Raw genomic sequence first — 23,584 nt, 5'->3', positions numbered from 1 at the left:
AACAGAACCCCAAAAGACATAATGTTTCCAGCCAAGCTTCCTTATTCTGGGGACGCCAATATCACATGTACCAGGCAGGGAAAGAGGATCAGAAACTCCTACCTGACACATGCACAGACAGCCGGAGGAAGACGAGAGGGATGAGGCAGCCAGAGAGCCAGGAGCCAGCAGAACTCGCCATCTCCATCCGAACTAGGACAGACAGAGGGAGACAGCACAAGCGGGCTGATGGGCTTGGCGTGACAGAGGGTATAACCCAGGAGCCGAGGCCGAGACGGTATTGCTGGTGCTCTGGGATCACAAAGGCCGGGGCTCCAATCCCAGCTCTGCTACTTACCTCCTTGTGATACTGTGACCGAACTTCTCTGAGACTGTGTTTCTTCATCTTCAAAATGGGTAAAAGAACTGTGCCTCCTTGTGGGATTATGGTGAGGGTTGAAAGAGGTAAATGCTCACACAGAGGCTGGCGTGTTAAGTCTCTAAATGCCGTGAGTGAGGATGTCAGTGCAGATGAGATGAGTGAGGATCCAGAACTTATACCCAGAACTAACCAAGGAAACACCAGTAATGGCCTTTTTTTTACAGTTGGTGTCCAAGGCCAGGCTTGGGAAATGCCTGTTTCAAGCCAATCTTTGCCCAAGATGCAGCCTGGAGGTTTCCCTGACAGCCTTTTCCAGTTTGACTCTTGATAAATAACAGATCAAGGCAGTGAGGTCCCTCCATGTCATCCTGAAGGCACTAATCCTACAAATTCAGGGTCTGGCGCTGGAAAGACCTGGGTTCAAATCTTAGCTCTACCTATTACTAGCTCTGTGTCCCTAGGAAGGTTGCATAACATCTCTGGACCTCGGGTTCTTAATCTATGAAGGGAAACTGTCCTCACAGATGAGTGTGAGGGTTCAAAAAGATACTGCCTGCCAAGCACTGGCCACAAATGCCTGGCAGAACAACTGCTCATAAGTGTGTAGTTGTTGTTATTATTACTAACCAAGTGAGGAAAATTATCCCTAGCAGGTCCAGATGACCGTGTGCATGAATCACAGGGAGACCCTAAAGGATTTCCTCCTGTAAAGCTCTTTCCCCACCTATTTGCTACTGCCTGAAATTGCTTTAGCAGGAAACAGAATCTCTCATGCCACAAGTGAGCATAAAGTTTAAAATGTAAATGCTCTAGGAAAAGGCAACTCATCTCTTAAATTCTCTCCAAGGTTCAAATCCTTTCCAAAGAGGAGGCTTTTGTATAAGTCAGAAGGCCCAGTCCCTGAAGGTCATGGAAAAGGTCATGACACACGGAGGGGGTGTCAAAGGGAGACTGGGAAACTGAAGATGAAGCTAGCGTTGAACACATTCTCATTTTAAACACCCAATTCTGTTTTCTCATGGCAAAAAGCACACTGGTTTAGGGTTGTTCTTGTTTTTCTTTAAATCATATTTTATACAACATACCCCTCTAAGCAAATGACAACATAGCACTAGGTCATAGTGAGGTTAGGATCACATTAGGACACATTTTTTTGTGACTGTCCCACCCACTTTCCTATAGGTTACTAGCTACTCAAAAACTGGACAAGAGAAGTTAAGTAAATGAGAAAAGCTCTCTATTTTATCAATTATGGTTGAAGGTGGAAGTAGGGCCCAGGATTCCCTGGCGTTATCCCTAATCCCAAAACCCCTCAACTTTCTAGTGACTCTGAAGCACACCCTGGGTAGACATGCTCAGAGTGACCCAGAGCTCCAAGCTAACCCAAGGCTGCCTGAAATCAAATAGAAGGAGACCTCTATGGACCCATATTCCAAGATTCAGACAATCTATGAAGTGGTTAAGAGGGTGAGCTCTAGGCTGGGCATGGTAGCTCATGCCTATAACCCTGCACTTTCGGGAGGCCAAGGCAGGAGGATCACTTGAGCTCAGGAGTTAGAGACTAGCCTGGGCAACATAGTGAGACTCCATCTCTACAAAAAATAAAAGAAAATTAGCTTGGCATGGTGGCACGCACCTGTAGTCCTAGCTACTCAGGAGGTTGAGGTGGGAGGATTTCTTGAGCCTGGGAGGTTGAGGCTGCAGTGAACTGTGATTGCACCACTGCACTCCAACCTGGGTAACAAAGCAAGACCTTGTCTCAAAAAAAAAAAAAAATTTTTTTAAAAAAAGAATGAGCTCTAGAGTCAGCCTGGGTTCAAGTCCTGGCTCTGCCATTTCCTAACTGGTGGCCTTAGACAGGTTAGTTTACTTCTCCAAACCTCCTCTTGCTCACACATGAAATGAAGTTAATAATAGTACCTACCTCATAGATAGGGTTATAGTAAGGATCAAAGAAAATACATGTAAAATGATTTGCACCAGATGCTGGAAATAAAAAGCAAATGAAGTCCTTCTGTTAGATTGTCACTCCATGTAAGAAGTGCTACCAGGTCCTTTTTTTCATATTTTCTTACACAGATGTAAGAACCATCTGGTCACCATACTGACCTCCAGGATTTATTCTTCTAATCTAGTTTGCCAGGATGGCCCCTTCCTCCATCTCTTCTAACATGTAACATATCAATATTATAGTAGTCAACATCCTATTAATGGCTGTGAAGTAACACTAAATCATAAATATGTTTCTAATTATGATATTGCTCTAAATCAATAATAGTTCTTATTTATTGCATTTGTTGTTTCTCCATATATATTGTCTTCAGTACTGACAACATCTCTGAAAAGTAGGTATTATTCTCTTTTACACTTAGAACAGGAAAGGCAATCATACACACTTCAGGGTACCATGCAAGTGAATTGCCGGGATCCTTTCTGGAAGCAGATAGAATGTAAAACATGGATAAACAGATGAATGAATGCATGCCTATATAGCCCTGTATCATGAGTTATAAAATGAGCAAATGACCACCACACTTTACTGAGTGATTATCATGGAACTCCTTTACAAAGAAATTTTCCCCAACAAATATAAAATATGATTTCACTTCCTAAAGTTCAATGTATATGCCACAGTTTGGGGCTTTTTCTGTCTTACTTATTGTAGGAAAATCTGGAAATGATCCAAAACAAGGACAAAAATGTCAAATCATCTGTAATTCCTCCACCCAAAGATAATGTTTCTATAAATATTCTTTCTATGCATGTACATAACTTTTTGTAAAACAAACAAACAAAAACCATGACTGGGCACAGTGGCTCACGCCTGTAATCCCAGCACTTTGAGGTAGAGGTGGGAAGATTGCTTGAGCCCAGGAGTTTGAGACCAGCCTGGGCAACATGGCAAATCCCTGTTGCTACAAAAAAATATAAAAATAAATCAACTGGCTGTGGTGGTATGTGCCTGTGGTCCCAGCTACTTGGGAGGCTGAGGTAGGAGGATTACCTGAGCCCAGGAGGTTAAGGCTGCAGTGAGCCATGATCACGCCCCTGCACTCCAGTCTGGATGACAGAGCAAGACCCTGTCTTAAATAAATAAGTAAATAAATACTTTATATACTGTTTTGATACCTGATATTTTCACCAAGTGCTACATTATGTGCATTTCCCAAGGCAATCAAATCTTCTTTACATGACTTTAGGATTCCATCATGGACATAGAATTTTAGAAGTTAGGATATAAGATGTAAAAGCTTTAAAATAATTCTATATTGAGGACATTTAGGTTGTTTTCCAATACATCGCTATTATAAACATTGCTATAAGTGACAGTGGATTGAGGGCTAGAATCAGATGGCTTAGTCCTAGTCTTGGCTTGGTCCCTTACTGCTCTGTGATTTTGTAACTTTTTTTTTTTTTTTTGAGACAGAGTTTCACTCTGCCGCCAAGCTGGAGTGCAGTGGCATGATCTCAGATCACTGCAACCTCTGCCTCCCAGGTTCAAGCAATTCTCCTGCCTCAGCCTCCTGAGTACCTGGGACTACAGGCGCACACCACCATGCCCAGCTAATTTTTGTATTTTTAGTAGAGACGGAGTTTCACCATGTTGGCCAGGATGGTCTCGAACTCCTGACCTCATGATCTGCCCTCCTCGGCCCCCCAAAGTGTTGGGATTACAGGTGTGAGCCACTGCGCCCAGCCATGACTTTGTAACTTTAAGCAAGTCACTTAGATTCTTAGGCCTTAAGTTTCCCATCTTTAAAATGGGAAGACTTTTCATCTGCACTGACAAATTGCCCTCCAGAAAGTCATATCAACTTACCAAAGTATCCTATGAAATTTCTTGTTTTCCCACAACCTTACCATCACTGGATATTATCATTTAAAAAAAAATTTGCCAATTTCATGAGTAACAAAATGCCATCCCTTTTTTTTTGTTTGATGGTGATTCATTTCAATTTGTATTTCTTTGATTACTCACTGGTTATTTGGACTTTGTCAATTACCTGTCTATGTAATTTGCTCGTTTATCTATTGGGACATTTATTTCTTAATGGTTTGCAAAATTCTGCATATACTAACCATTTTTTTCCACTACACATGTTGGAAACATGGCAGTTATTTACATTTTAAGTTTGAAACAGTTTAATTTTTAAAACTTCTAAATCAGAAAAAAGATTGTAACAGATGTTCTCTTGACAGTCCCAAGCAGTTTAATATGACCCTGCAAATCTGCAATTGATCAGTCTAAAAGCACACAGCACAGCGTCCAGCAAATAGTAAGAGCTAAATAAATGTTGGCTTTAATTTAATAATGATGACAATACTACTTAAATAAGAGTACTTCAACAAAACCCATCCAGCAATCTTGTCACTTGTCTCCTTTTGTGTTTCTTTAGTGATAGCTAACAACTGCCCCATTTCACCCTTGAAAATGTTCTTGTGCGTAAGGAGAAAGGGGATTATTTCTCTACTAAACCTGAGGATCCTGAGAAAGTTAAAGGACTAAAAAGCATGAAGAGAGAGAGGAGGACTCACCACCTTCTGGATCAGGGACGCTTGTTCCTCTCACAGGCAAAGCTGGAGTTTGCAAGCTGGGAACACTCCTTCCCCATGCAGAGAGACCAGGGAGCAGGCAAGCGCATCAGGAAGGCCTAGGGATGTGGGCCGGGAAAAGTTCATATTTTATGAAATATGAGAGGCCAGGGCTCTCTCTGCCCCCACAGAACTCCCTTCTCGCTGTCCCTGTAAACCAGCAAGCCACACCCTGTCTGTATGCCCCTGATAAAAGAACAGAGCAAAGAGGAGGCTCCCAAAAATGAGGGAACCACTGAGTATGACTGACCGGGTAGGAGGCACGTTTGCCCCTCCACTCCCTTTTCCTCCAATGCTGCCAATAGTAATTCCCTCTGATGCGTTTTGATCCTATCACATTCTTTCTGAAAACCTTCCCCCTTTACTTTTCAAATCAGAGTAAATTGGAAGATTGGTTTCAAAGACATCCACCAATTAACCACCTTCTTTAACTCACTATCTTTATCTCCAGCTACACCCTGACATGTGCCTTCTGATAAGCAAGCTTGCTGTTTTCCAACATGTGATAAACGCTTCCCGCCTGTCTTGCTTTCATAATATCCTTAGCTGTATGTTCATAATCTCCATAATTATATCATTAACAATACATTACACATTTTTATGTCCTTTGAACTTTATAAAGATGGAGCCCATTGTACATAATTCCCAATTATTCCCTTTTTTTATTCAACATTAGCTTCTGAGTCTAGCAGACATCTGTGGTGGCCCACACCATGTCCCCTCAGCCCACCCAATTTTGGTGTAGCTGAGACTTGCAGGCAAGCTGCTAGCATGTCACCTCATAGGCCATGGCATTTTTCTGCTTGCCTGTCTTGGGGCTTTCTACAAAGCCTTGGAAGGCTGTGCAGCCCAGAAGTTCACCAAAGCTAACACCTCGGAGACATAAACAACAGTGAGAGGAGTCAAGACAAAATGCTCCAGGCTTGCACCTTCAGCTCTGAGCTGTATTCGACATGATTCCTCTGAGTGTTCCCAATGGGAGTGAGCACGGTGGTTCATAGTGGTAAGTAGCTCCGTACTGCACCTTTTATTGACTTTTCTTCCTTTTTTGCTCATTCCCATTTCTGCTTCCTGGGATTACCTCCTAAATACACTCTTGAACTGAAGTACTTGTCTCACACCTCACACTCTGTTCTGGGGGTGTACAAATTAAGACACTGAAATTAATCCAGGTTGTTTCACAGAGCACTAGGATATTCATTCACTGCTATATAGTAGACCATTATATAAATCTACCAACAGTTTCTCTCGTCCCTTAATGATAGAAATGTGGGTTGTTTCTGGGCTTTAGCTTTTATAAATAATACTGTCCTGAACATTCTTTTTTTTTTTTTGAGACAGAGTCTCGCTCCGTCGCCCAGGCTGGAGTGCAGTGGTACGATCTCGGCTCACTGCAAGCTCCGCCTCCTGGGCTCATGCCATTCTCCTGCCTCAGCCTCCGGAGTAGCTGGGACTACAGACGCCCGCCACCACGCCCAGCTATTTTTTTTTTTGTATTTTTAGTAGAGACGGGGTTTCACCGTGTTAGCCAGGATGGTCTTGATCTCCTGACCTTGTGATCCGCCCGCCTCGGCCTCCCAAAGTGCTGGGATTACAGGCGTGAGCCACCGCGCCCGGCCTCGTGCCCTGAACATTCTTGATAGGTATTTCCTGCTCACATGTGCAAGAATTTCTCTAGAGCACCAGTTCTTAATGTGTGGTCCACAAACACTTGAAGTCCCTGAGGCCCTATCATCCAGGTTAAAACTACATTCATCATAATAAAGACGTTATTTGCCTTTTTCACGGTATTGACATTTTCAAGGACACTGCAAAAGCAATAGTGGGTAAAACAGCTAGCACAAATCAGGAAGTGGCACCAAACTGTAGTAGAAGTTACAAATTTTATTAAATTTCAACTCTTAGATACACATCTTTTTAATAGTTTGTGTGACAAAATGGGAAGGATGCATAAACAGTTACGCTGCATATCAAAGTATGATGACTTTATCGAGGAAAAAACCTTAAGTGATTGAGTTGTGAGCTGAAGTAATCGCTTGACTCATGGAGCACCATTCTTACCTGAAAGTACAGCTGAAAGACAAAGTATAATTATTCAGACTTGGGTATTTGGCAGGCATTTTCTCCAAAATGAATAAAGTGCACCTGTCACTTCAGGAAAAGCAACTGACAGTGTTTGTTGTCAATGAGAACATTCAATCTTTTGAGCAAAAATTAGAATTTTGGAAAATTTTTATCTGCTGCTTGATACCCTCACAATAGCAAAAGACTTTTCTGATGAGATTGGCATTGATATTAATAAATGTGATTTTTTGATGTTGTATAATGAAATGTGTCAACATTTAGAAGATCTGTAAAACTCAGTGACTCAGCAATTTCCAAATGACCAATGGGTGTGTTGACAAAACCCTGCATGGGTAAAACATTCATTTAAAATGCAAGAAAAAACTGTGAGTGTTGCTGTAATAGAGTATAAAAAGGTCATTGCTATGGTTTCAGATTTCATGTCACAACTAAGCTTTAAAAAACTACCACTTGCTGAGTTTTGGTGTCTTATCAAAGAATATCCACGATTATCTGAAAAAGCTACTGAAATGCTCCTTTTCCAATTGCATACACTTCAACCACAAAACATACTGCAGCAGATTGAAAGATATAGCTGGCTTGAGAATACAGCTGTCTTCTATTAAGCCAGACATCTAAAATATTTATAGCCATTAAAAAGAATAAAATCCCATCATTCAAAGTGACATGGATGGAACTAGAAAACATTACGTTATATGAAATAAGTCAGGCACAGAAAGTTAAACACCACATGTTCTCACTCATAGTTAGATGTTAAAAAAAAAGAAAAAGTTAATCTCATAGAAGTGAAAAGCAGAACAGAGGTTACTAGAGGCTGGAGAGGGAAGGGGAGGATAGGGAGAGATTTGTTCAATAACACAAAATTACAGCTAGGTAGGAGGAACAACTTCTACTGTTTTATAGCACTGTAGGATGACCATAGTTAACAATAATATATTATGTAGTTTCAAATAAAGAAGAAAGGATACTGAATGTCCCCAAAACACAGAAATGATAAATGTTTGAGATGAATATGCCAATTACCCTGATCTGATCACTACACATTGTATGTATCAAAATATTACTCTGTACCCCATAAATATGTACCATATGTGTCAATTAAAAATTAATTAGGGCTGGGTGCAGTGGCTCACGCCTGTAATCCCAGCACTTTGGGAGGCTGAGCCAGGCGGGTCACCTGAGTTCAGGAGTTCAAGACCATCCTGGCCAACATTGCGAAATCCTGTCTCTACTAAAAATACAAAAATTACCCAGGCGTGGTGGCACACGCTTATAATCCCAGCTACTCAGGAGGCTGAGGCACAAGAATTGCTTGAAGCTGGGAGGTGGAGGTTGCAGTGAGCTGAGATCACACCACCACACTCCAGCCTGGGCGAGAGAGTGAGACTCCATCTTAAAAAAAAAAAAATTAATTTTTTAAAAAGGATTTATATAAATATAAAGCAGTGCTACTCAGTAATATTTTTGTTTCAAAAAAGTTGCTTTTCATAAATATATGTTTTGTTGTTATATAATTTATTATTTTTATTTTTAAAAGTAGTAATTATATTTAATTTTTCTTAGTTTTCTTTTTTTTTTTTTTTAGAGCTAGGGTCTAGCTCTGTTGCCCAGGCTGGAGTGCAAAGGCACAATCATAGCTCACTGCAGCCTTGAACTCCTAGGCTCAAGTGATCCTCTTGCCTCAGTCTCCCTAGTAGCTAGGACTACAGGTGCATGCCACCAAGCCCAGCTATTTTTAAAAATTTTTTTGTAGAGATGGGGTCTTACTACGTTGCCCAGGCTGGTCTCAAACTCCTGGCCTAAAGTGATCCTCGCACCTTGGCCTCCCAAAATGCTGGATTACAGGCATGAACCACCACACCCAGTCAGTTTTAATTTTTAATATGGAAAATTTCAAAAAATATAACTCATATAAACTGAAGCTCCCTGAGGTCCTCAATAATTTTTAAATGTAAAGCGTTTCTCAGAATATATACCTAGAAGTAGTATTGCCAGGTTATAGATGATACTAAATTGTTTTCCAAAGTAATTGTACCAATTTATAACTTGTCATAATTAATATTTTTACTGCTTTCTCCAGAAGCATTTTATCAGATAGTCTAAATCACATCATAAAATGAGTTTCTTATCTGAAATGTTCTTTTTAGACTTCTAACTCTATGAGTGAGAAAAACAGATACAGACATAGATAAAGATATCACTCATAATCGTAATCTCAGAATCCAGTAATAATCACTGTAATTTTTTTGGTCTATATGCTTCCTGACTTAAAAAGAGGGAGCTCTAGATTTCCAGTTAAATAAACATGTCTCATTGAACACAAATGCTTATCTCTGTTACCTCCCAAAATGATCTAAAATGACAATCTTGGAGTGCAAAAGGAAAAGCCTATAAGGACAAAGAGAACAGGACAGTAAGTAACTGTGCAATAGAGATGTCAATACATTTCTTTAATGAAGGAAAGCAGAGGGCTCACTAGTAATAGAGCTAGGAAAAACTGAACTCTAACCCAGGTGCCTGCAGAGGGAGGCAGGATTGGGGGAAACATCAGATAAAGGGTTCCTGACATCAACCCTTGACATCAGCAAGAAGAAAGCTGATTCTCAACTGAGAACCTTCCAGGCTTGGGATGGGAGGGACCAGGGCCTGGCTCTACCTCCCGGGGTTGTTGTAAGGATTAAATTAGCTAAAACATGCAAAATACTTAAAATAGGGGCTGATACTCAATGGTAGCTGTTATTGTCTGAGGATAAGCTCCAACTTGAAAGCCAGAGACCAAAATAAACAACAGAGACAATCTAGGAAGCAGAAGAAAACAGCAGAAAATTACAACTGGAATCCTCAGAAATATGAAATAAGAGAAGATCCTGAATCCACAACATAAGAGCAAGAGGCTACCAAAAAGGAAAGTCGGGGATCAAACAAAAACTCTTGGAAATTAACATTTTTGTAGCAGAAATGAAAAAATTCAATAGAAGAACCAGGGGATACAGCTCAGGAAAATCTCTTGTAAATTAGAATAAACAAAACCAGGAAATGGAACATGAAGAAAAATTTAAAAACAGGGAAACTGGCTGGGTGCAGCAGCTCATGCCTGTAATCTGAGTACTTTGGGAGGCTGAGGCAGGAGGATCACTTGAAGCCAGGAGTTCAAGACTAGCCTGGCCAACATAGGGAGACCCTGTCTCTATTTGTTAAAAAAAAAAAAAAAAAAAGAGAAACTGATCACAGAGAACGTTTCCCAGAATTGAAGACTTTGTTTCCCAATTGAAAGGGGCCACCGAGTGCTTAGCATAATGAATGAAAAATACTTAAAGGACAGTTTGTTATGAACGTTCAGAACATCAAGGATAAAGGAGAAAAATATCCTAAACAAATTAACAAATTAACAAACAAAATATATGGGAAGTAACACAAGTCAGAATAAATCAGTCTCCTCAAGAGTAGCCACATGAGAAGCTAGATGACAATGAATCAATGCCGTTAAACTTCTGAGGGAAAATAATTTCCAATGTGGAAATCTGTCACTCAAGGATGAAAGAAAATAAAGCCATTTTTAGACAAGCAAGGACTCAAAAATTTAGCTTCCATGAACCCCTTCTGGGGAGTTAGTGGAGAACATACTCCTCCAAAATGAGAGAATAAACCAAGAATGGAAAAACATAAGATCCAGAGAGCAGGGGATTTGGCACAGGAGAAACAAGAAGAGAATCCCCAGAATGTGGTTAGGTCCCTAATCCTAGGACAAGAGCTGTGAAGCAAGGCTAAGCAGAGGAGTTTGGAGCAAAGAGAGGATGAGTCTAAGGAGGGATGCTGCCAAGAAAAAAAAAAAAGACACTGGTAAATGACCTGGTTCACATCTGTAGTACCAGCCACTGAGGGGCTGAAGCGGGAGGATCACTTGAGCCCACCTCTGAAAATAAAAAATAAACAAGGGATGCATAGATCATTAAGCAAATAAAAATAGATAATTTTTTGACTCTAGAAAAAATATTATTCAATAAAGTGAATATAATCTTAGTGTAGTATATACCTCAACTGTAAAAATATTCTAGTTATATTACTATAAACTCTTGCTAGTCATTCAACAAACCAGGAAATTCTGCAGCCTGGCCAAGAGTCCACTGGTAGACACAAAAGAGACAGACAAAGCATAAACTCATGGAAAGAATAGAGAGGGGACTTTGACAGTGTTCAGCCTCAACATTCACTCCCTCCTGGCTCCAACCTTCACCTTCCCAATAAAGAATGTAGAATCCCAAACTGGTATCTCCAGTTCCGTTCTTTTCTGAAATCTTCTAATTGCTCACTGGACAATTCTTCTTGCCTATTGCCACTTGAAGCGTAATCTAGCTCTTTCTCTCTCTCGGTCCCTCTCTTGCGCGCGCGCACACACACACACACACACACACACACACACACACACGCTCCTAACTTATCCTCTTCCTCACCGTTTCCCAAACCAACTCATCACACCTTCTCCACTTTCAACAGTGGCTCAGTGGCACCACTACTTTTCCAGTCTTCCATGTGGCTTTTCCACTCCTCCATTCCCTATAGCTGGTTTGTTTTTAGCTGGCTTCTAAAGGTCCTGCCGTGTCTTCAGCTGTAATCTAGTTCATAGCTTATATGAACGTTATAAACCATACCATGTGACACAAATGTAAAATACCAGTACTACATCAAGATTTCTGAAATAGACTCTGACTTGGTTACTTTTATTAATAATAATCGAATCAGCATTTGTATAGGGTTTTTAAAAAGACATTTAATGTACTTTCCTCTGATTGCTAAAGTATAAACGTTTACTGTAGAAATTTTGGAAAAGCTGGGCGCAATTGCTCACATCTGTAATCCCAGCACTCTGGGAGACTGAGGCAGGAGGATCACTTGAGCCCAGGATTTCCAGATCACCCTGGGAAACACAGTGAGACTCCATCTCTACAAAAAAATTTTAAAAAATTAGCCAGGCATGATGGTGTGTGCCTGTAGTCCCAGATACTTTGGAGGCTGAGGTGGGAGGATTGCTTGAGCCCAGGTTACAGTGAGTTATGATCACACCACTGCACTCCAGCCTGGGTGACAGAGCAAGACCCCATCTATTTTTTAAAAATTAAATAAATAAAAAATAAACATTGTGCAGTAGATCTCTAGAACTTTTTCACCTTACAAACCTAAAATTCTATACCCTTTAAACAATTCCTCTTTTCCCTCTCTCCTAGCCACTGGCAGTCACCATTCTACTTTCTGTTTCTTAGACTTTGATTGCTTTAGATACTTCATATGAATGGAAACATGCAGTATTTGTCTTTTTGGGGCATTGTGCTCACTTTTAAGGCTTTTGATACCTAGTACTAAACTGACCTCCAGAAAGGCTGTTAACGATTTACAGTTTGACTGGAAGCGTGTGTCCATCTGGGCTGAGTTCATTGCTTGCTTAGCATCTATCAGTTGTTTCAATTCTTGCCAGTTTGATAGAGGAACAAATAGTGGACCCAAACAGGGTTTTACTTTGGATAAGGCCATTGTCCTATGAATCCTGGCTGAAATATTTGCTCCAGCACTTAGAAGCTGTGTGACCCGGGACAACTCACTTAACTTTTCAATGCTTCTGTTCCCTTATGTGTAAATGGGGATAATAATATACACGTATACATTATACACACTTATTATGAGGAATTAGTTAATAAATGTGAAGCTGTAAGAACAGTGCCTGGAATATAGTAAGCCCAAATGTAAGGTAGCTATTATCATTTTTGTCAATCCTTGCTAATGTAATACCTGGAAAATTACAGCCAGCTATTTTAATTTACATCTCCTCGGTAATCAGTTGAACGTGAATGTTCTCTGTATTTATACTGGCTATTGGTACTTCTGTCAAGATTTCCTTTTTCAAAGCACTGTGGCAAACGGGATCTCACTTGATCCTCCCAATAAACTCATGAATGAAGAAGGTGGCAATCATCAATCCCCACTTTTCGAATTAAGAAATTGAGCCTCGGAATTCGAATTCTGAGCAATTCCAATTCCAGGATTCGGATCTCACCCTCTAAAACCTAGTAGCTGTTGCAGAAAATATAACGGGAAAAAGCTTTGGTTAGCCGTAACCACCACCCACCCCGGTGTGGCTCCGCCCCTGCCCCGCCCCGGCACCGGCTTGCCCCGCCCCGCCCTCTACGCGGGTTTCCAGCCATCCTCTCTGCGCACGCGCGGCCGCTCCTGCGGGCGGAAGCCTCCTGGCGCTCGGCCCTGCGCCCCTCCCCCCGGCGCGCGGCCCCGCCCAGGACGAGGGGCGGTGGGCAGGCAGCGCTGGGTCCAGTGGTCGGGGGAAGGCGAGGATTACCCTCCCGGAGGCGTTGTCTGCGACTCGGCGGAGGCTCCAACTTCCAGTGGCCCGGTCGGGAAAGGTACAGACTCCCAAGCCTCTTGGTCGGCGGCTCCAGCGACCGCCATTTTCCTCCAGGAGAGGGAAGAGGGCAGGAGGCGGGGGCCGTCCCCTGGGGCCGGGCGGGCCGGGGCGGGGTCGGGGGGCCGGGCGGTGGGGGGCGGGCCCGGCTGGCTATGGGGCCCGGCCCCCTGGCCCCAGGAGCGGCTGCTGCGGCGGAGTTAGGCCGGCCGCAGTGGGAAAACCCTGGGCGCCCTCTGGGTCTCAGCGTCCCATTAGGACGGTTCCGCGCTGGGTGCCGCACGCCGCACAGTGGGCAACGCTTTCACAGGGGTCTTTGCATTTCACCCGCACACAGCAGCTCCTGGAGGGAGGCCAGGAAAACACTTAACCCATTTTGCAGACAGAAAACTAAGGCTCAAAGTGGGGAGGAGACTTGCCCAGGGACACCCAGCGAGGTTGTGGCCTTGGGACTCGGTTCCTACTCCCCCACATCCAGCGCCCTTGCCACCAGACCACTCTGCCTCACCTGGCAAAGGATGGGGCGGAGCTAAAGGATTAGAGGAGTAACTGGCAGGGTATTTTTTGTTTTGTTTTGTTTTGAAGATCTGCCTCTTTCTGTACCACCCAGATCAGAGCCTCCTAAGAAATATCCAGAAGTCAAGCCATGGATCCACCTGCACGTAAAGAAAAAACCAAAGTTAAAGAATCTGTCAGCAGAGTTGAGAAGGCCAAACAGAAATCAGCCCAGCAGGAGCTGAAGCAGAGACAAAGAGCAGAGGTGAGATTAAGGCGGAGGCTCTGTATGCCTGTAGTCTGCTGGAGATGATGCTGGAATAGAGAAACAGCAGAAAGGAGAACTGACAGCGAGCCATACTTGCCTCCAGGCAGGATGGGTGTTCTCCCAGGTTTAGAGGGGACAACACTGAGGTTCAGAATGGTGAGGTGGCAGCCCAGAATCACATGCCAAGTTAGTGTCAGAACCCCAGTCTGGTGCGGAGCTTTTGTGGTAAGAGACCCAAGGGAAGGAAGAAAGGAAAAAAAATGATATGTAAGGGGAAAGAAGGGGTCAGAATGAGAGAGAGCACGCAAGTGTCAGACACCCCCAGTACAGATGTTCTGGATTTGGTGCGGAAAGCAGCTACTCATGCCAGGTAGAGGCCCAAGCTTTAAACTCACCAGTGTGTTCCTTTGTTCTCTCAACGATTACAATCAACTTGAGAATAAAAAGCTTTAAACTTTACCCTGCCAATATTGAGCCACATACAGACATAAGTATTTTATTTTAGTATTTAATGTCAGGGAAAATCTTGCTGGTCTCTTTTTCCCTCTTTGTTTTGTTTATCTGTCTGCTTTGTTCATTTCCTGTCTTACATCCTTTTACTTCTCCATGGACAACTACTTTTTTTTATACTTTTACATTCAAATATATTAATAGATATCCTTGAACAATATACAGTAGTATTTTAAATTTTTACATTAATAAAATTCCTGCATTTTATTTTGCATTTTGCTTACATTGTTTTTTAGAACTATTCATGCCAATATAAGAATTTAGTTTATTCTCATTAATTTTTATAATAGTCTATTTTATGCATCCATTTTACTTAGTATATTTATTCATTCTTACAGAGATGCACATTTAAATTATTTATAGTATTTTTTGCTATTACAAACATTGCTGTAGTGAAAAGCTTTTAGGTGTCTCCTTTGGCACCTGCCTTAGAATTTCTGTAGGTTATTTAACTAGAAAAATTACTGGGTACATTCTCAATTTTACTAGACATTGCCACATTGCTTTTTTTTTTTGAGATGGAGTCTCTTTTTATTTTTTATTTTTTATTATTATACTTTAAGTTCTAGGGTACCTGTGCACAACATGCAGGTTTGTTACATATGTATACATGTGCCATGTTGGTGTGCTGCACCCATTAACTCGTCATTTACATTAGGTATATCTCCTAATGCTTTCCCTCCCCCCTCCCCCCACCCCACAACAGGCCCTGGTGTGTGATGTTCCCCTTCCTGTGTCCAAGTGTTCTCATTGTTCAGTTCCCACCTATGAGTGAGAACATGCGGTGTTTGGTTTTTTGTTCTTACGATAGTTTGCTGAGAATGATGGTTTCCAGCTTCATCCATGTCCCTACAAAGGACATGAACTCATCCCTTTTTATGGCTGCATAGTATTCCATGGTGTATATGTGCCACATTTTCTTAATCCAGTCTATCATTGATGGACACTTGGGTTGGTTCCAAGTCTTTGCTATTGTGAATAGTGCCATAATAAACATACGTGTGCATGTGTCTTTATAGCAGCATGGTTTATAATCCTTTGGGTATATACCCAGTAATGGGATGGCTGGGTCAAATGGTATTTCTAGTTCTAGATCCTTGAGGAATCACCACATTGTCTTCCATAATGGTTGAACTAGTTTACAGTCCCACCAACAGTGTAAAAGTGTTCCTATTTCTCCACATCCTCTCCAGCACCTGTTGTTTCCTGACTTTTTAATGATCGCCATTCTAACTGGTGTGAGATGGTATCTCATTGTGGTTTTGATTTGCATTTCTCTGATGGTGAGTCTCTTTTTTTTTTGAGACGGAGTCTTGCTCTGTCACCCAGGCTGGAGTGCAGTGGCGTGATCTCTGCTCACTGCAACCTCTGCCTCCCGGGTGCAAGCAATTCTCCTGCCTCGGCCTCCAGAGTAGCTGGGATTACAGGCGTGCACCACTGCCTTGGCCTCCCAAAGTGCTGGGATTATAGGTGTGAGCCACTGCACCCGGCCGATATTGTCAACTTTTAATTTTTGTTAACCTGATTCATTCATTAAATATTGGCCAGGCACAGTGGCTCACACCTGTAATCCCAGCACTTTGGGAGTCCGAGGCAGGCGGATCATGAGATCAAGAGATTGAGACCATCCTGGCCAACATGGTGAAACCCTGTCTCTACTAAAAAAAAAATTAGCTGGGCGTGGTGGTGCTCCCTGTAGTCCCAGCTACTCGGGAGGCTGAGGCAGGAGAATTGCTTGAACCCAGGAGACGGAGGTTGCCGAGATTGTGCCACTGCACTCTAGCCTGGGCGACAGAGCTAGACTCTGTCTCAAAAACAAAAAAAAAAGAAAAAGAACTGCTAGTATGTGCCAGGCACTGTTCGAGGAATTTGAGTCACATGATGACAAAGCAGAAAAGAATCCCTGCCTTCATGGATCTTGCATTCCAGCAAGGGGAGGCAGTAAACATAATAAGTAAACTTACTAGTGCATTTGAAGTTAATCTGTAAACTGAAATCTACCTTTGGGTTAAGGCAGACCCCCTGAGAGCTGTGGTCCTTTACCTTCCCATTCCCACCTGGATCCGGGTCCTCAGATGATATGACTGCATTGTGCTTTGGTGAACAATATGAGGGTTGCTATAAGAAACAGCCCTGAAGCAGGAGAACAGAAGCTACAGATAAGAAAACCATTGATCAGAGAAATGGTGATATAGCCAAGGGAGCTCTCACTGGAGGAACAGAGCTATCTATACTTCCGTGTACAACAAATGCTCTGGGAAATGGAGAACCAGTTGCCAGCCCATATGTGGTTACCTCACACCAATCAAAAGTGACTGTGGAGAGCACCCCCAATTTGGAAAACCAAATGAAAATGGAGTATCTCTGTTCAGAATGAAAATTTTGAAGAAATTATAAATTTACCCATTGGATCGAAACCATCCAGATTAGATGTCACTAACAGTAAGAGCCCAGAAGTTCCTTTGAATCCAGTTTTGGCCTTTGATGATGAAGGAACGCTTGGGCCCCTGGCTCAGGTAGATGGTGTTCAAACACAACAGACTGCAGAAGTTAAATGCGTATTTTTTCTGAAGAACCAACGTCAAAATTTAACGAGAATTTCTATAATTAATGGAATTCCTTTCATGCTATAAAAGAGCATCCCCTCTTCCAGTTTTCTAAAGATTTCTTGACCATCATTTTGAAAAGATTTATTTAAACTAGCTAAAGACAACAGACAGGATAGCTTTCCTAATAATTTTCATCAGTAGAAAAAAAATACTCCTCATTCTTCAGTACTTTCAAATGGCTTTTTCCAGTGTGCTCCTTCTTAGCAAATTAGTATTTTTCTGCGTTATTTAAAAGACAAGAGGATTTGGCTATAAAATGATTGACTAGGATTGACTAGGCATGATTTTTTTTCACATAGTTTGGTCTTAAAGCTTAACAGCTTAAAATTGGCAAAAAAAACTTGTGCCTTTTACCATGTAATACTTGAAAAGTAAGTACCTCTTTGCTACAAGTAGAATGAATAGGGAAAAGTTTAAGCCTGTTTTTTTAAAAATATTATTTTAAAGAGCTCTATTTGTAGAGGCAAATTATAGGCAGATTACCAGTTTCTTATAAATACAAACTTGTACATGGACATTCTGCAAACCCAGCTGTCATATTCTTGCAACTACTTTTGCAAAAGCATACTAAAAGGTTTTAAAATGTGAAAAAACATTATTTTTTCAGAGCAAGAAAATAATTTACTGTTGTCTTCAATAATGTGTAAAGTTTTTCCAGATAAACTAATCAAATAAATTAGAACAATGTGACAACATTGCAAATTTGTCATTAGATGCATTCCTTCTAACGTTACCAGGGGAGGATGTTACTGATGATTCAAGGCTGTTTCTGAAGTCTGTGTGTTGCTACTGTCCCCAGTGATGGTGGGACTTACCTCTGTCCTACTTGATCACAAATTATGTTAGGGGGAAATAAAGATTTAATATTTCATTAAATAAAAAAGAAATTTGGTTTTGCTCATTTAAGAGCAACAAGAAAATGGTGGTGTGTTGACTGTGTTTGGCCGCAGGGCACAGACCTTTATGGAAGTCCTCGCTCTGCATGGCATCCACCAGCTTTTCACCTTTCATTCTTATTCTTCACTTTTGCTGCTGAGCCTAGCTGTACAAATTTGCACTTTCATTTGCTAATGTAAATTCAATTTATTTTACCATTTTAGAGACTACTAATGATTAAATGTAAGAGAGGACACATGTTTTTATGTGGAGTGTTAAAAAAGATAAATTTATACCACTGTAATGTGCTGGATTTATTAAAAGAGATTGGTTAAACTGCTCGGTTGAATGAGAGACTTCCTCTATTGTACTCTTTTTTTTTTTTTTAAATCCAAGGATATTGTCTTTAGTAACAGCTTGTAACTTGTTAAAACATTAATTTGGGGTTTTTCCCTATTCTTAATTGTCTATGTACACATAGTAATTATGTTAAAATCCGTTTTTAAAAAAAACAGCCCTATGAAACTGTCCTCTGTGCATATTGTAAGGATAGATGTTGAGGACATTGTTCATGCCCTTATTGACACCCTTCTGTAAAGTTCTATAGGTTAAATTTATTTGTCTGACTTCAAATCTCAGCTCCTCCATAAATCCCAGTTCTTCCATGTGACGTTGGACAAGATACTTAACCTCTCTGAACCCCCAGTTCATCAGTTCCTCCTTGGTAAAATGAGGATAACATCTACCTCAGAAGACCATTAAAAGGAATAGAAATACCACGTGTAAAGCCCATAGCGCAGTACTTGGCAGAGGAAGCATTTGATAACTAGCAGTGATTATGATCAGGAATAATCTTGTGTTTCCAAGCAGGCAGCCTGCTCTTATTGTGTGGACCCTAAATTGAACAACTGCTGAGTTCCTGTTGACCTGCTGAAATGCAACGTTGCTGCACTCAAGCAGCAGCTGGCCCCGTGCAGCTCTTGAGATGTGCCAGGACCGAGCCAAGCCTACACATGCATAGCCACATGTAGTCCTCACACCAGGGCTCCAAAGCAGGAGTTATTGTGACTCCCATTTAACCTTGGTTAATCCGATATGTAAAATATATGGCCTTGTGAGGTAGGCAGTATTATCCTCACTTCAAAGGGATGTGAGTAGAGTCCTGTAGTTAAAGAGGGGCAGGCCTGTGGTCTAAACATCTTCTGACTTTTGTCTGTTGTTTTTTGCCTTGCCCCCTACAGCTGCCTTGCTGTTTTTTTTTCTGTTTGGTTGGTTGGTGTTTTTGTTTTGTTTTGAGACGGAGTCTCGCTCTGTCACCCAGGCTGGAGTGCAGTGGCACGATCTCGACTCAGTGCAACCTCCACCTCCCAGGTTCAAGCAATTCTCCTGTATCAGCCTCCTGAGTAGCTGGGATTACAGGCACCCGCCACCATGCCTGGCTAATTTTGTATTTTTAGTAGAGATGGACTTTCACCATGTTGGTCAGGCTGGTCTCGAACTCCTGACCTCAAGTGATCCGCACACCTCGGCCTCCCAAAGTGCTGGGATTACATATGTGAGCCGCCGCGCCTATCCTGTTTGTTTTTAATCTTTATTGCCTGGAATGTAATGCAACAAGACCCTTTGTGGGGAGGAAGAGACAGTTTCTATTCAATTCTGCAGACGCCAGATTCCAGAAAGTTAGATGTGAAGGAGAGATGTGGGAGGTGAATGGGAACGGAAGGCACATTGGCAGTGGAAGCACCGTTTGACACTGCTAGGGTCCGTTTCCTTCTTGACTGAGAGTCATTCTTTGGCCTGGACACCCTGACCCATTGTGAGTCTCCTCTTTCTCCTACCATCTTGCCTCCTTGATCTGGAGGTCTCTGAGAAGCTATTTAATTTGCATCTCAGTCCCTAGTACAGTAATGTGCAGATTAAAAATGCTCAGTAAATACTTAGTGAATGAAGCAAGCAGAGGTTTTCAAATATATATGTATATATGTGGGCCCGGGCACAGTGGCTCACACCTGTAATCCCAGCACTTTGGGAGGCCAAGGTGGGCAGATCACGAGGTCAGGAGATCAAGACCATCCTGGCCAACATGGTGAAATCCCGTCTCTACTAAAATACAAAAAATTAGCCAGGCACGGTGGTGCACGCCTGTAGTCCCAGCTACTCAGGAGGCTGAGGCAAGGGAATTGCTTGAACCAGGAGGCGGAGGTTGCAGTGAGCTGAGATCGGGTCACTGCACTCCAGCCTGGTGACAGAGCAAGACTCTGCTCACAAAAAAAATATATGTGTGTGTGTGTGTGTGTGTGTGTGTGTATGTATGTATGTGTGTGTGTGTGTGTGTGTTAAAAGTATATTTATATAATGTGTGTATGTGGCTTAAGAATAAAACACCCAACTATAGAACGTGACCAGTAACTGGGAAGCTTTGTGTACTCCTTTCCTGGTCATGTACCTCACCCTTCCCACCAGCAGTACCCTCTTTGCTGTATTTTATGCTAATCATTCTTGCTGTTCTACGTTAATTTACTGTCTGTGTACCTCTAAATATTTTGTTGTGTAACAATATATTGTTTTGAATGTTTCTGACCTTTTATATATGTTACCGTGACTGGCTGTCTTCACTCAGCCTTTTTTTAACCATTCAAGTTTATTTATTTTTATTATGGTAAAATATACATAAAATTTACTAGTTTCATCAGCCGCATTCTGTGTTTCAAGAATCATTTGCGGTAGTGTTAGTAACTATTTTCATCACTGTGTAGAATTCCATTTTTCTTAAAGATGACAGGAATATTCAAGCTTTCTAGTCAGTTTGGATCATTTTACTTTTCCTAGGAACTTGTTTCATTTAGGTTGTCAAATGTGTTGGCACGGAGTTCATAATGTTTCATTTTCATTTCTGTTATGTCAGTAGTTAAGTCTTCTTTCTAGTTCCTAATAATGTTTATTTGTGCCCACTCCCTTTTATGTTGATCTGTCATGTCAGAGGTTTGCAAGGTTTTTTTTAGTATTTTCAAGGAACCATCTGGCAGTCTTGGTGATCCTCTCTATTGTAGGTTTGGTTGCTTTTTCATTCGTTTCTGCTCTTTATTTTGTATTTTCTATTTGTCCCACTTCTAAGTTTCATTTTTTCCCCCTTCCTTGTCTTTTCAATTAATCAAGTTATAGCTCCTCTACACACACACACACTCTGTCTTTCATTTTTTTCTTCTACAAATTAGGAAGTTTTGTGATCTGTTTCTGTTCTTAGTGGGTGGATTAATTAAGAATAAAGAAAGATGATGAGGAATAAGGTGTAGTTACCCTGCCTTTCACCTGAGGATGTCTCTTGCCATCTTCTTTCCATCACCACTGCCTGCTGTAGACGATATTCCCACGACCTCCTGTCTGGACTGTTGTAACAGATGCCTCCTAAAGCACAGAAAGAATCAACGTTGCTTATGGCTGGGCACAGTGGCTCACGCCTGTAATCCCAGCACTTTGGGAGGCCGAGGCGGGAGGATCACATGAGGCCAGGAGTTGGAGACCAGTCTGGCCAACATGGTGAAACCTTGTCTCTACTAAAAATACAAAACTTAGCCGGGTTTGGTGGCGGGCACCTGTAATCTCAGCTACTTGGGAGGCTGATGCAGGAGAAATGCTTGAACTTGGGAGGCAGAGGTTGCAGTGAGCTGAGATCATGCCACTGCAATCCAGCCTGGACAACACAGCAAGACTCTGTCTGAAATATATATATAGCTCATATATATATGCGATATATACATACATATATAGCTTATATATATGAGCTATATATACATACATATATAGGCTTATATTATAGGTTATATATATAGGCTATATATACTACATATATACTATATAGTATATATACTATTAATAGTATATACTTTGGGAGGCCAAGGTGGGAAGATCTGTCATGTCAGAGGTTGCAAGTATACCATATACTATATATAGTATATATACACTATTAGTATATATAAGCTATATAGTGTATATAGCTTATATATATACTGTATACAGTATATATAGCTTATATACTATATATAGCCTATATATACTATATAGTATATATACCATTATTATATATATGTATACACTTTGGGAGGCTGAGGCGGAGGATCTGTCATGTCAGAGGTTTGCAAGTATAGTGTATATATATTAGTATATATAAGCTATAGTATATATAGCTTATATATTATAACATATATGCACTCTACTTATAACTTATATAAGCTATATATACTATACATAGTATGTATATATATATATATATATATATATATATACACACACACACACACTATATTCACATTGCTCCCCTGCACACTTATCTTTGCTGGCTCTCCAGAATCTGCCAGATAAAATCCAGATTCCTTGGCATGACATTTAAGACCCCAACATAATTTTCTTGCTTTCTCCAGCTCCCCAACCCCTACTCTATAATATCCTTTATATTGGCATGCTTGAAGTTTCCAGAACAGACTCTATACTTTTCCATTACATTTATTTACACATAAAGCCTCCCCCACCACCTGTCATGTCCCATGATAGATTTTAAGCTGAGATGGCCAATTTGCAGCCTTACAGAACTAGACCAGAAGATTATTTGTGGATAAATCTGATCTTCCTGTATGTAACTTCTACTTCACTGGTTCCTCAATCTCAATTGGCCACATGCTTGCTGAAGAGACTTGTTTTCTTCTTAAGGGATCCTACTAATCCCTTAAAGACCAAATCAAGCCACCTGCATCACTGCTGCTGTCTTGATTCTCCAGATGGAACTAATATCTAACTTTCCTATTCCCAGAGCACTGTCCCTGCATTACCACTACTGGTGAAATTCTGGTATTTTCAGAAGGCACCACCTGTTATGTCAGAAGATGCTTTGTGCAGCTGCTTCCATTGCTAACAGATGTATCTCTTTCTCTCATTCAGATCTATGCCCTCAACAGAGTCATGACAGAACTGGAGCAGCAGCAGTTTGATGAGTTCTGTAAACAGATGCAGCCTCCTGGAGAATGAGGCCCCAGGTTCAAACCAGATGGGATCCTGAGAGCTTTGAGAGGGTGTTGCCAGTTTTAAGCTGAGATGGCCCATTTGGAGCCTTACAGAACTAGACCAGAAGACATTTGTGGATAAATCTGAACTCACTTCCTGTGTGTAACTTCTAACTTCACTGGTTCCTCCCATCTGAATTGGCCACATGCTTGCTGAAGAGACTTGTTTTCTTCTTCTAAGACAGTGGTTTTGTTTTTTGGGTTTTTTTAAAAAAAAAAAAAAAACACACACAAAAAACACTTTTTCTATTGTTTGAGAAAAATCAGTGTTTCTCATGAAACTCTATATCTTCTCCAAAAATACAAATAAAATACTAATAAAATGTT

General features: G+C 41.3%; 2 protein-coding genes across 11 annotated transcripts in view, besides 3 other annotated features; one reads left to right on the top strand and one right to left on the bottom strand.

The window, feature by feature from the left end:
- Positions 1-13,514, bottom strand: part of ERMAP (erythroblast membrane associated protein (Scianna blood group)) — a 27,870-nt gene extending 14,356 nt beyond the window's left edge. For 3 of the 9 annotated variants that reach the window (XM_047443586.1, XM_047443588.1, XM_047443600.1), the window contains exon 1: positions 103-4,894. In XM_047443586.1, the coding sequence (XP_047299542.1) occupies positions 103-385 (283 nt within the window). In that variant the 5' untranslated portion in view covers positions 386-4,894. The other 6 variants (XM_047443591.1, XM_006710313.5, NM_001017922.2 and 3 more) reach the window with 6 other exon arrangements.
- Positions 13,096-13,385: a silencer, noted in NCBI's record as "silent region_771". NCBI's record gives its function as "represses an Ori minimal core promoter by ATAC-STARR-seq in GM12878 lymphoblastoid cells {active_cell/tissue: GM12878}" and the evidence as "EXISTENCE:reporter gene assay evidence [ECO:0000049][PMID:35858748]".
- Positions 13,239-23,584, top strand: SVBP (small vasohibin binding protein). Of its 2 annotated transcripts, none has more exons than NM_199342.4 (3): positions 13,239-13,446; positions 14,056-14,205; positions 23,136-23,584. In NM_199342.4, exons 2-3 carry the CDS (start codon positions 14,092-14,094, stop codon positions 23,220-23,222), a joined length of 201 nt encoding a protein of 66 aa, NP_955374.1. In that variant the 5' UTR covers positions 13,239-13,446; positions 14,056-14,091; the 3' UTR covers positions 23,223-23,584. The 2 variants fall into 2 exon arrangements, with proteins under 2 accessions (NP_955374.1, XP_016856715.1); XM_017001226.2 differs by having other exon boundaries at positions 14,031-14,205.
- Positions 13,536-13,735: a silencer, noted in NCBI's record as "silent region_770". NCBI's record gives its function as "represses an Ori minimal core promoter by ATAC-STARR-seq in GM12878 lymphoblastoid cells {active_cell/tissue: GM12878}" and the evidence as "EXISTENCE:reporter gene assay evidence [ECO:0000049][PMID:35858748]".
- Positions 14,296-14,365: a silencer, noted in NCBI's record as "silent region_769". NCBI's record gives its function as "represses an Ori minimal core promoter by ATAC-STARR-seq in GM12878 lymphoblastoid cells {active_cell/tissue: GM12878}" and the evidence as "EXISTENCE:reporter gene assay evidence [ECO:0000049][PMID:35858748]".

The sequence above is a fragment of the Homo sapiens genome, chromosome 1, assembly GCF_000001405.40.
Source record: "Homo sapiens chromosome 1, GRCh38.p14 Primary Assembly".
NCBI classification, from domain to species: domain Eukaryota; kingdom Metazoa; phylum Chordata; class Mammalia; order Primates; family Hominidae; genus Homo; species Homo sapiens.
Note: the sequence above shows the minus strand (reverse complement) of the source record. Positions and strands in the feature narration are given on the sequence as shown.

Bases quoted from the DNA above. Each gene is read 5' to 3' on its own strand.
- SVBP (NM_199342.4), top strand. From the start codon at position 14,092: ATGGATCCACCTGCACGTAAAGAAAAAACCAAAGTTAAAGAATCTGTC. The intron at 14,206-23,135 runs GTGAGATTAAGG...TCTCTCATTCAG, and splicing joins AGCAGAGACAAAGAGCAGAG to ATCTATGCCCTCAACAGAGT.